Source organism: Homo sapiens, chromosome 19, assembly GCF_000001405.40.
Source record: "Homo sapiens chromosome 19, GRCh38.p14 Primary Assembly".
Taxonomy (NCBI): Eukaryota; Metazoa; Chordata; class Mammalia; order Primates; family Hominidae; genus Homo; species Homo sapiens.
In genome coordinates, this window is record NC_000019.10 from 37,006,102 (window position 1) to 37,019,031 (window position 12,930).

Here is a 12,930-nt window from a genome sequence, read left to right on the forward strand (position 1 = left end):
TGGGATTATAGGCGTGTGCCACCTGGCTATATTTTTGAATTTTTAGTAGAGATGGGTTGTGGGGAAAAGCAAGAGAGATCAGATTGTTACTGTGTCTGTGTAGAAAGAAGTAGACATAGGAGACTCCATTTTGTTCTGTACTAAGAAAAATTCTTTTGCCTTGAGATTCTGTTAATCTATGACCTTACCCCCAACCCCGTGCTCTCTGAAACGTGCTGTGTCAAACTCAGGGTTAAATGGATTAAGGGCTGTGCAGGATGTGCTTTGTTAAACAAATACTTGAAGGCAGCATGCTCGTTAAGAGTCATCACCACTCCCTAATCTCAAGTACCCAGAGACACAACACACTACAGAAGGCCGCAGGGACCTCTGCCTAGGAAAGCCAGGTATTGTCCAAGGTTTCTCCCCATGTGATAGTCTGAAATATGGCCTCGTGGGAAGGGAAAGACCTGACCGTCCCCCAGCCTGACACCCGTAAAGGGTCTGTGCTGAGGAGAATTAGTATAAGAGGAAGGAATGCCTCTTGCAGTTGAGACAAGAGGAAGGCATCTGTCTCCTGCCTGTCCCTGGGCAATGGAATGTCTTGGTATAAAACCGGATTGTACGTTCCATCTACTCAGATAGGGAAAAACCGCCTTAAGGCTGGAGGTGGGACATGCGGGCAGCAGTACTGCTTTGTAAAGCATTGAGATGTTTATGTGTATGCATATCTAAAAGCATAGCACTTGATTCTTTACCTTGTCTATGATGCAAAGACCTTTGTTCACGTGTTTGTCTGCTGACCCTCTCCCCACTATTGTCTTGTGACCCTGACACATCCCCCTCTCAGAGAAACACCCAATAATGATCAATAAATACTAAGGGAACTCAGAGGCTGGCGGGATCCTCCATATGCTGAACGCTGGTTCCCCGGGTCCCCTTATTTCTTTCTCTATACTTTGTGTCTTTTTCTTTTCCAAGTCTCTCGTTCCACCTTACAAGAAATACCCACAGGTGTGGAGGGGCAACCCACCCCTTCAATGGGTTTTCACCATGTTGGCCAGGCTGGTCTCCAACTCCTGCTCTCAGGTGATCCGCCCACCTCGGCCTCCCAAAGTGCTGGGATGACAGGTGTGAGCCACCACACCCAGCATCTCAGAACCATTTAATAAAAACTAGGAACAGAAGTCATGTCGCATGCAGCTGCAAGATGGTGGATCCCTGCACAATTACCCCAAAGTTCCTGGCTTTATATACCATAGGGAATTTGCCTAAGGGCGGGACTATAATAAGTATGGTTCGTGAGCAAACATCAAGGTTGTTTGACCTAAGGGGGAGAATTTAAGGTAAGTACATAAAAGTACATTTAAGGTGTTCCTGGAACTGGGGCTAATCAAGAGTCAACATGGTAGATTAGCATCCAAGATGGAGTTGCTTTAACCCCCGGCGGAGACCCAAGCCTGCGCCTTGAAGCTCCTTCTCCACCGGTAGAAGTCGACTCAAGGAGGTCGTGAGGACAGGACTCCTGGGGGTCCCGCTCTGGGGCACCCGTAGCCCTCTCTTCCACAGCGCCCTCCTACTGGACTCCCGCTGTAGCCACCGCCGTGACTGCAGCAAGTGCACCCCCTCCCCCAACCCCGAGGCCGCCGCGCCGCCACCGTTGTTTAAAGAAGCCTCTGCCTGACTTCCGGGAGCAGAGCGCTGGACGGACAAGCCAATGCGCATGCGCGAGGCGCCGGCTGTTTCCCCGTTCACAATGACCCCCACGGTTGCCTAAGAAACCAGTCCCTGAGGCTTGGGAAAGCAGGAGCCCTCCGCGGCAGTGCGTCGGTGTCGAGGCTCCGAGGCTCCGGCCTCACCTCTCCAGGAGGTCGACAGAACGACAGGACGTTCTCCGAATGCCAGGAGTCGCAGAGGGCAGAGCAGGATGAAGAAACCACAGGCGGAGTCTAGGGGAAGCAGTACGGCGTCCCTGCCTCAGGCCTGCCCGGACGGTGTGCGGGTGAGTCTCCCCAAAAGTCGTGCCCCTGTCAATTCGAGGACAGGTCTGCCTGTGTGCCTGTAGGCTACTCTCTCACCCGAGGGTCGTTCTCACAGAGAGCAGAACCCCGCAGCCTCAGGAGTTGCCTGGGGCGGGCGGGGGGGGATGTTTGTGTACCACTGCTGTGTGTGTGTGTAGTGTGTGTGTGTCTCACTTTCTTCTCTCTCTCTCTCCCTCTGTTTCTTTCTCTGTGTGTGTGTCCGTGTGAGTGTGTTGTCACGAATGTGCCCTGTGCGCCAAAGGGCAATTTCTTGCATGTCGGCCTGTCTTTGGTGAGCCTCTTTCTGCATCTCTGCCTGGGTCATGTGGAGATGCTTCGGACCCAGAGGAATTGAAATCTCATCCCCAGCCTGAGTGGCAGCTTTTCTAGGATCAAGACCACACCTCAGCCAAGGACAAAAGCATCAGAAGAGCTCATTGTCCTGAGGGAGGGGAGCAGACCGACGTCAAAGATGGTTTTAAGTCCGCGAGACTCTTCTCTGACAAATGAAGCCACACCACGACACAGGCTTAAAGAAGAAGCCGGGAACAGGACATGGCAAGGATCCCTGTCACTGGAACACTGGCCTTTCTGGACAAGTCACCCGTTTGGCACTCCTCCCCGGGTGCCCGTTGCGGTGGCACTGTGCTGTATCCTGCCTGGGCTCTGGCCTCTGCTCTGTCCTCCCTCTTGCTGTGTCTCCCGTTTCTGAGGGGTGCAGATGCTTCTTGGTCTGCCTCAATGTCTTCAACAAAGAACACTTTCCAGTCCATCAGGGAGAAACTTCAAGGAGATCCATGTCATGATTGTTTCCCTCTGCAAACTTGTTTCTGGTGGATTGGGCACGTGTGAAGATCCTGGAGCTCTGGGCATCCATACCTGTCTCAGACAGGGAAGCTCCCTTGGTCTCCATGTTTCACCTGATGGCTGCGTAGTTTCCCTACAATGAATGGTAGGCGACCGTGGCTGGCCTTGGCTTCAAGAGAGGCGGTGTCACATTTCCTCTGCATTTCCTGTCTCATTCTTAAGGGACATCTGCTTCCTCTGCTCCTGGGTGGACTGCCTCCCAGAACTGAATCTTTTGGCAGCCAATAATGTCAGGGAGCCAAAGGGACTGGGCTGGGGCTGGGTGCATGGGAGGTTGCGTTAGGGCTACCTAGGCGGTGGAGGGATGGAGGTGGAGTGATCTTTACAGAAACCTCTCCGCTCCTCCAGCAGGCTCCCCAAAATGTGGCTTGGACTTACGCACAGGGCCTCTTCTGGTTCCCAGCTGTGCTTTGCTTTTCCTTGGCATTGTTGGGGAGGTCACCTGTGCCCCCCTTCCACCGGGCACATGCCTGGACACCAGTGTTCGTCTCGCCATCGCCCCATATGGCCTCGGTGACACACACTCACCCCATCTGCTCTGGGGGACGCCAGTGCCACGTTTGGTCACATTGGCTCCACCTCGGACTCACCCCTGTTCTTGTTTGCATGTCTCCTGGAAAGCGGTGGCGGCACACAGCAGCCCCAGGACTTTGGCAAGCGGGGCAGGCCACTGCACCTCCCAGGGAGGAGGGAGGCAGAGGGCTCATGTTTCAGTGAATTTTCAGCTGACACCATGCCTTCAGGCCCATGGGATCTTTCTGTGCCCCAGCGAGGCCCTGCCTGCCTCACCAGATGAGGTGAGCCCATCCCTGGTCACCTGGTGGGATCCAAAATCGGATCTGAAGAGGAGTACTGAGACCCCAGCAGGCGCCCTGAACCTCCTCTTCCACTGGTAGAAGTTGGCTCAAGGAGGCCCTGAGGACAGGACTCCTGCGAGTCCGGCCCTAGGGCGCCCGCAGCCCCCACTCCCTCGCCGCCCCCTACTTGATCCCGGATTCAGCCACCACCGCGCTGCAGCAGGAGCCCCTACTGCCGCCGCCATTGTTCGAGGGGGCCTCAGCCTGAGTTCCAGGAGCAGAGCACGAGTCGGCCTAGGCAATGCGCATGCCCGAGGCGCGAGAGGATTATCCCGTCACAGTGATTCCCACAGTTGCCTGAGAAACCAGTCCCTGAGGCTTGGCAAAGCAGGAGCCCTCCGTGGCAGTGCTTGGGTGTCCGGGCTCCGAGACTCCGGCCTGACCTCTCCATGGGGTCGAAAGGACGGTCTCTGGATGCCAGGAGTCGCGGAGGGCGGACCAGCATGAGGAAACCATTGGCGGAAAATGGCAGAAGCAGTGCGGCATCCCAGCCTCAACTGCCGGGACGGTGTTCAAGTGAGTCTCCCCAAAAGTCATGCCCCCCGTGATCTCGACGACATGTCTGCTTGTGTGCCCGTGGGCTGCTCTCTCACTTGAGAATCGTTCTCGCAAAGAGCAGAACCCCGCAGCCTCAGGGGTTGCCTGGGGCTATGTGTTTCTGTGCCACTGCTCTATGTCTGTGTGTGTGTGTCTCCCATTCTCTCTTCTCTCTCTGTCACTCTGTTTCTCTCTCTCTGTCTGTGAGTGTGTGTGCCGGTGTGCGTGTGTGTGTTGAATGAATGTGCCCTGTGCATCAAAAAGCGATTTCTTGCATATCGGCCTGTCTTTGGTGCGCCTCTTGCTGCGTCTCTGCCTGGGACATGTTGCCGGTTGTCAATCGGTTTCGCGGCAGTTCCACTTTGGGTTTCTAAAGGCCTCGACGACGTGAGGAGAGGCGTCGGTCCTGGAGGAACTGAAATTTCATCTCCATCCTGAGCGGCCTCTTTTCTAGGATCAAGACGACCACACTCCAGCCAAGGACAAAAGCCTCACAGGAGCTCACTGTCCTGCAGGAGGGGAGCAGACAAACGTCAAAGAAGATGGTTCTATCTCCTCACGGCTCTTCTCTGAAAAATGAAGCCACACCACGACACAATCTTCAAGAAGCTGGGAATGGGACATGGCAAAAACCCCTGGCCTCTCTGGACAAGTCACCTGTTTGGCACTCCTCCCCTCAGCCTGTGGCGGTGGCACTGTGCTGTATCCTGCCTGGGCTCTCGCCTCTGCTCTATCCTCCCTCTTGCTCTGTCTGCCCTGTTTCTGAGGGGCCTAGATGCTTCTTGTTCTGGTTCAATGTCTTCAACAAAGATCACTTCCCAGTCCAACAGGGAGAAAGTGGTGATCCGTGTCATGATTGTTTCTCTCTCCAAACCCGTTTCTGGTGGATTGGGCAGGTTTGATGATCCTGGAGCTCTGGGCATCCATACCTGTCTCAGACAGGGAAGCTCCCTTGGTCTCCATGTTTCATGGGATGGCTGCGTGGCTGGCCTTGGCTTCTAGGAAAGGCGGTGTCGCGTTTCCTCTTCACTTCATGTTTCATTCTTGAGGGACATCCTCTTCTGAGCTCCTGGGTGGACTGCCTCCCAGAACTGAATCTTTTGGCTGCCATGAATGTCAGGGAGCCAAAGGGATTGGGCTGGGGCTGGGTGCATGGGAGGTTGTGTCGGGGCTACCTAGGCATTGGAGAGGTGGGGGTGAAGTGAACTTTGCAGAAACCTCTCCGCTCCTCCAGCAGGTGTAGCAAAATGTGGCTTGGATTCACGCACAGGCCCTCTCCTGGTTCCCAGGTGTGCTTTGCTTTTCCTTGACGTTGTTGGGGAGGTCACCTGTGCCCCCCTTCCACCAGGCACATACCTGGACACCATTGTTCGTCTCGCCATCGCCCCATATGGCCTTGGTGACACACACTCACCCCATCTGTTCTGGGGGACGCCAGTGCCACGTGTGGTCGCATTGGCTCCACCTTGGACTCGCCCCTGTTCCTGTTTGCACGTGTACTAGAAAGCGGTGTCTTCTTGCAGGAGCCCCAGGGCTTTGGAAGCGGAACAGGCCACTGCTCCTCCCAGGGGCGAGGGAGGCAGAGGGCTCATGTGTCAGTGAATTTTCAGCCGACACCACGCCTTGAGGCTCATGGATCTTTCTGTGCCCCAGCGAGGCCCTGCCCGCCTCACAGATGAGGTGAGCTCATCCCTGCTTACTTGGTGAGATCCAAAATCTGAAGAGGAGTCCTGAGACCCTAGCAGGCGCCCTGAAGCTCCTCCTCCACCGGTAGAAGTCGGCACAAGGAGGTCTTGAGGACAGGACTCCTGGTGGTCCAGCCCTGGGGCGCCCGCAGTCGCCTCTCTCAACGAAGCCCGCTCCTCGACCTTGGATCCAGGTGCCCTCCTACCGCCGCGCCGCCGCCATTATTTAAAGGGGCCGCAGCCTGACTTCCAGGAGCGGAGCGCGAGTCGGCCTAGCTAATGCGCATGCGTGAGGCGCGAACAGATTCTCGTCACAGTGATTCCCATGGTTGCCTAAGAAACCAGTCCCTGAGGCTTGGCAAAGCAGGAGCCCTACATTGCAGTGCTTGGGTGTCGGGGCCCTGAGGCTCCGGCCTGACCTCTCCAGGGTGTCAACAGGATGGTCTGCGGATGCCAAGAGTGGTGGAGGTCCGACCAGGATGATGAAGCCACAGGCGGAGTCTGGGGGAAGCAGCTCGGCATCCCAGCTTCAGGCCTGCCGGGACGGCGTTCGAGTGAGTCTCCCAGAAAGTCGTGCACCCCCGTGACCTCGAGGACAGGTCTGCCTGTGTGCCCGTGGGCTGCTCTCTCACCCGAGAGTCGTTCTTCTGGAGAGCAGAGCCCCGCAGCCTCAGGGGTTGCCTGGGGGGGTGTGCTTCTGTGCCACTGCTATATGTCTCTGTGTGTGTGTGTGTGTGTGTGTGTGTGTGTGTGTGTGTGTGTGTGTCTCCCATTCTCTCTTCCATCTCTGTCTCTGTTTCTGTCTCTTTCTTACTTTCTTTGTCTGTGCGCCCGTTTGCGTGTGTGTGTGTTGGGACGAAAATGTCTTGTGCACCGGAGTGCTGTTTCTTTCTTGTAAGCCTGTCTTTGTTGAGCCTCTTTTTGCGTCTTTTACTGGGTCTTGCGGCCCATTGTCAGTTTTCCCTGCCGTTCCACTTTGCATTTTGTGAAAGCCTCGGCAACATGGGGAGCATCGTGGGTCCCGCAGGAGTTGAATTCTCCTCCCCATCCTGATAGGCCTCTTGTCCAAGATCAAGACGACCACCCCACACTTAAGCACATTTTTTAAAGGGGTCGCAGCCTGATGTTTAGGAGCCGGGCCCATGTAGACCTGGCTAATGCACCTTACTCGCCTCTCACTGCCTGTCACTTCGTCCACAGCAGCCCCCGCTCACTATTTTTTAAAGGGGCCACTGACGGGATTACAGGAGCCAGGCGCCTGTCGGCCTTGCCAATGTGCATGCTCGTGGCGTGTGCAGGTTCTCACGTCTTAATGATCCCCTCCATCGTCTGGGGAATGGGTCCCTGAGGCTTGCCGATCACAATCACTCCGTGGCAGTGCATCCGTGTCAAAGCTTTTGCCTGACCTCTCAACGTGGTTGACATGATTGTCTCTGGATGCCCGGATTTGAGGAGGTCACCGACCAGGATGAAAAAACCTCATGCAGAGTCACGGAGAAGCAGCGCGGGATCCCAGCTTCAGGGGACAGATGGAATCTCCGGACTCCCATTTGGATCTGATTTTGGATCCCACCCATTGAGCAGGAATGGGGTTACAATCTGGTGAGGCGGGGAGGGCCTCTCTGGGGCACAGAACGGTCCCACGGACCTCAAGCCATGGTGTCAGCTTAAAGTTCATTGACTCATCAGCCCACTGCCTCCCTTCTCCTTGGACGGAGCAATGGCCTTCTCTGGTTTCCAAAATCCAGGGACTCCTGTATCCTGACACTGCTTTCTGGGACCAGTGCCAACAGGGCCAGGGGTGAGTTTGAGGTGGAGCAAATGCGACCACACGTGGCACTGGCGTCCCCTATGAGCAGATGTAGTGAGCGTGTATCTCCAAGGTCGTTTGGGGTGATGTGGAGACTGACAGTGATGTCCTGGCATGCGCTCAGGGGGCTATGGGGACCTTCGGAAGAAAGCCAAGGAAAAGCAAATCACACCTGGGAACCAGGAGAGGGCCTGTGCCGGAGAACAAGCCCATTCAGGGAGGCCTACTGGAGGAGGCGAGAGGTTTCTGCAAAGTACCCTTCACCCCCACCCCTCCATTGAGTAGGTACTTCTCAAGCTGTCTTTCCTTCACCCAGCCAAAACGGAAAATCGTTCCTGCCTTTTTAGGACAGCAGTGCTGAGCAGCAGGATTCCCTGAGCTTTGAGACCAGGACGGTGCCCTGGGAGGCCCAGGTCGAAGGGAGGCAGTGAGCTCATGAAACAGGGAATTTTCAGCTGACTCCCTCCCCTGGGATCTCAGCTGTTACTGTGCCCCAGCGACCCCCTTCACACCTCACCAGACTGAATAACCAGCCCCATGGGACCCGATTTCTGCCCATACCTTCCAATCCGGAATCGGAGCAGAAGAGCAGTCCCGAGTGCCCACCTCACGGTCTGAAGCGCCTCCTCCTCCACCGGGATCCGAACACGAAGTCGGCTTAAGGAGGCCCTGAGGTCAGGACTCTTAGGGTCCTGCGCTGCTTGTCGCAAGCAGCCTCCTCCCCCAAGCCGCCGCCGGTCCATCTCTAGCATTTTCCTGGGGCTGCCGCCTGACAGCCCTGACATTGCAGCGCGCGCGAGCCGACCACGACAATGCGCATGCACCAAACGCGAGGCACCAGGGCAAGCTCTGAGCCAGGGCTGGCCTCCCAGGGACCACCACCATTGCCTGGGCACGGGTCCCAGAGGCTTGGCAGATCAGGAGCCCTCTGTGGCAGTGTGTAGAGTTGGGCTGATGTCTCTCCTCTCTGAGGGATCAGCACGGTGATCCCACAATCCTTGGAGACTGGCAGGGCCGAACTAGGCTGAAGAAACGTCAAGCAGGGCCCCAAGAATGCACCACAGGATCCCTAAGGATCCCTATGATGTATCAGGCCTGCCTAGATAGTTTAGGGGTGAATCTCCTTGAAAGTCGTCCCCCCGGGATTTGGACATACGGCCTGCCTATGTGCCCGAGGGCTGCTCTCTCCCCGGAGGGGCTTCCTGGCAGAGAGCAGAACCACGCAGCCTCAGGAGCTGCCTGGCTGTGTGTTTCTGTGCGAGTGCTGGATGTCTCTGTGTGTGTTTCTTTCTGTGTGTGTGTGGTTTCTTGTGAAACAAATGTGACTCGTGCGCTGGAGCGCGGTTTCTCTCAAGTCCACCTACCTTCTGATGCTCCTCACTCTGTGGCTCCGCTTGGGCTGCGGGGCCCCACGTCCTTTGTTTTGCTTGTAGTTCCTGAAGCCTCGGAGAAGTGGGGGGCTGGCTCCAACCCACAGGGGTCCAAATCATCTCCCCACCCCGGGGAGCCACTCTTCTAGAAAGAAGATGAGCACAACACACCCAAGAACAGACGCCTCCTAGGGGCCCATAGTCCTGTGGCACATCCAGGGCTGGACCCTAGCTGTCCTGTCCTCAGGATCCCCTTGAGCCCACTTCAAATTCCGTTGCTGGCAGGGCAGGAGCTTAAGGATGTCAGATGGGCACTCAATCTTCTTTCAGTTCCATTCCGGGTCAAAAAGAAATGATGTGTGTAGAAATAAGGTGAGACAGGGGTGAGGATACAGTCTGATGAGGTGGGGAGGAGGTCCCACAACTACACCAGCAGGACAGGTGCAGATAGATGTCAAAGAAGCTGGTTCCAACTCATTCTCCCCTTCCTCTTCACTGCATAACCTGTCCACACCATGGCCTGGTGCTGGTGGAAGAAGACATGAATGTGAGGAGAATATTTGGACTGCAAACTGTGGCCTTTCTGGCCAGCTTCCAGGTTGGGCCCTCATTCCCGGAGCCACATGCGAGTGGGATGGATTGATCCTGCGCGGGCTCTGGCCTCTTCTCTGTCCTCTCTTTTCCTGCCTTCCATGTTTCTCATGGGCCTAGGGTTTCCTTGGTCTGGCTCTACATTCTCTACAACAAACTTTTCCCAGTTAGTTGAGGATGACCTTTCTGAAGATCCATGTCATGAGTGTTTCCTCCTCAACACCCACATTTCCTAATGACTGGGTAGCTGTGATAATTCTTGAACCGTGGGTGCTCGTAGCTCCCACCAACAGGGAAACTTTTGGTCCTCCTATTCCGTCAGATGACTGCATGATTCCCATAGGATGAGAGGTAGTCAGCCATGGCTGGCCTTTGCCTTCTAATCTAGGCTGTGTTTCATTTCCTCTGCACATCCTTTCTTATTGTTGAGTGATCTCCCATTTCTCTATTCCTGACTGGAACTGCCTCTCAGCACGGAACCATTGGCTGTTAGGAATTTCACAGAGCAAAAGGGACTGGCAGTTGACTGGGTGCAGGCCAGGTGGTGAGTAGTGATCCGGTGTGGGGTTTGGGGTGTTTTGCACTTTGCACCTCTTGGCTCCTCTGGCTGGAATCCCTGAACGGGGCTTGGACTCTAGCACAGGCCCCTCCTGTGGTCCCAGTTGTGCTTTGCTTGTCCTTCCCTTTCTTGGGGATCCTCATTGCCCATTGGGAGCATGCCCGGACATCCTTCTGAGGCTTGGATTCACCCCATATGGCCTTTGAGACACACTCTCAACCTTATCTGTCCCCATGGATTGCCAGTTCCAGGTGTGGCCACCTTGGCTCCACTTTCAGCTTGCCTTTGTCCTCGTTCCCGTTGCTACTGGACAGCAGTGCTGAGGAGAAGCAGGAGCTTCTGGCAGCCAGACAGGCATGTTTGCTGAGGCACTAGTTTGCATGACGCTACTGGGACCCCTCGGAGGATGATTTTGGTAGTAGGGCCAAGGCCAAACAGGTTAGTAGCCAGGCTCTATGGGACTTGGGTTGTTTCCAAGTCTGAAGCAAGATGACTGCTGGGTCTACAACCTAGATATGGGTCACTGCTTTCAAAACAACCCTCTTAGGTCTTGGGATCCACAAGGGTTTCATAACCTCCTACATGAATCCCAAGGCTCCCAGAGAGAGACTTTTGCCAATGGATAAGTGCAGAATTCTTACTATTGTGGGGGGATATGAGCAGGTGACCACATATTTCACCATCTTGCTAACATCATCACCATCTGTTTCCTTTATTGTATAATAAACTAGTAAACCTAAGTGTTTTCCACAGATCTGTAGCCATTCTAGCAAATGATGCAACTAATGGAGAGGATCATGGGAACTTCTGATTCAGTCATTCAGTAAGACGTACAGGTGACATCTGGACTTGTGATTGGTGTCTGAAGTGAGAGTAGTCTTGTGGGACTGAGCCCCTGGCCTGTGGGATCTGACTCTAAATCTGATTAGTGTCAGAATTGAAGTGCAGGATGCCCAATTGGTGTGCACAAGGAAAAGCCCCACACAAGTGGTATGAGAAGTACTGAGAGTGGCATGAGTATAGAAGGAAAACCTGCTTTTGCAGATACAGTGGCATACATACAATCCTTTTGTATAACCAGGGTTATACACCATGACCAAGTAGAATTTATTCTTGGAATGAAACAATGGTTAAATATTTGAAATCCTAACGTGTAATATATCACATTAAGAGTGAAGGAAAAACCCCACTTGATTATCTCAATTCACGCAAAAAGTTTCAACCAATTTCAAAAACCATTCATGATTTTTTAAAAAGTCATGCAACAAATTAGGAATTGAAGGAAACTACGTCAACATAATAAAAGTTTTATGTGAAAAACCCACAGTGGACAGCACACTCGGTGAAAGACTGAAAGCTTTTTCTCCAAGATCAGGAACAAAGGAAGAAGGCCTGCTGTCACCATGTTCATTCAGCAGAGTACTAAAAGTACTAGCTACAGAAATGTGGCAAAAAAAACAACAACCGGCATCCAAATTGAAGACAATGAAATGAATTTTCTGTGTTTGCAGATGATATGATCTAATGTGTAAAAAACCCAAAAGACTCCATAAACAAAAAACAACTAATAAAATGAATTCAGCAGAGTGCCAGGATGGTCAACACACAGACAAAAAAAAGTTTCATTTCTATACAATTACACTGAAGAACACAAAAAAAAGAGAAAACCATGCCATTCACAATAGCATCAAAAAGAATAAACTTCTTCAAAGTTAACCAACAAATTGAAAGACTTGTCCAATGAAAACTACATATCATTCCTGAAAAAAAATTAAAGACATAAACTGAAAGGCATCCCCATGTTCATGGATTGGGAAATTTAATATTGTTAATATGTCAATACTATCTAAAGCCATCTACAGATTTCATGTAATCCTTCTGAAATTCTAATGACATTTTTTGTATAAACGGAAAAATCTATCCTGAAATTCATATGAAACCTCGTGGGATTCCAAGTAGGCAAAACAACCCTAAAAACTAGGAATAAAGCTGGAAAAATCACACTTTCTGATTTCAGAACTTACTGCAAAATGAGAGTAATCAAAGAGTCCAATATTAATCAATGCATATATAGCCAGATGCTTATCAACAAGGGTGCCAAGATCAGTCAATGGGGATATGACAGGGTTCTGAACTGTGCTAGGAAAACTGGGTATCTACATAAAAAAGAATAAAGTTGAACTATTTTTATTTTTTGTTTGTTTGTTTTTTTGAGACAGAATCTGTGTCGCCCAGGCTAGAGTGCAGTGGCATGATCTTAGCTCACTGCAACTTCTGCCTCCTGGGTTTAAGTAATTCTCCTGCCTCAGCCTCCTGAGTAGCTGGGATTATAGGTGTGCACCACCATGCCCAGTGAATTTTTTTATATTTTTAGTAGAGGCGGGGTTTCACCATGTTGGCCAGGCTGGTCTCGAACTCCTGGCCTCAAGTGACCCACCCACCTCAGCCTCCCAAAATGCTGGGATTACAGGCACAAGTCACTGTGCCCAGCCAAAGTTGAACTCTTAATGCCATATACAAAATTAGCTTAAAATGGATCCATAAACTAATTGTGAGATCAAATGCTTTCATAGCACTGCATTTGGTAATTTTTTTTGGAGGATACCAAATGTACAGGCATCAAAAGAAAAAACAGACAAGTTGAAATTCATGAA

The 12,930-nt window shown here is 52.7% G+C and overlaps 1 protein-coding gene across 3 annotated transcripts in view; it reads left to right on the forward strand.

Moving 5' to 3' along the window:
* Nucleotides 1,801–12,930, forward strand: part of ZNF420 (zinc finger protein 420) — a 122,467-nt gene continuing 111,337 nt past the window's right edge. For all 3 annotated transcript variants that reach the window (XM_047438230.1, XM_011526503.3, XM_011526510.3), the window contains exon 1: nt 1,801–1,981. The gene's annotated coding sequence lies outside the window, so the exon portion shown is untranslated. The remainder of the gene's footprint in view (nt 1,982–12,930) is intronic.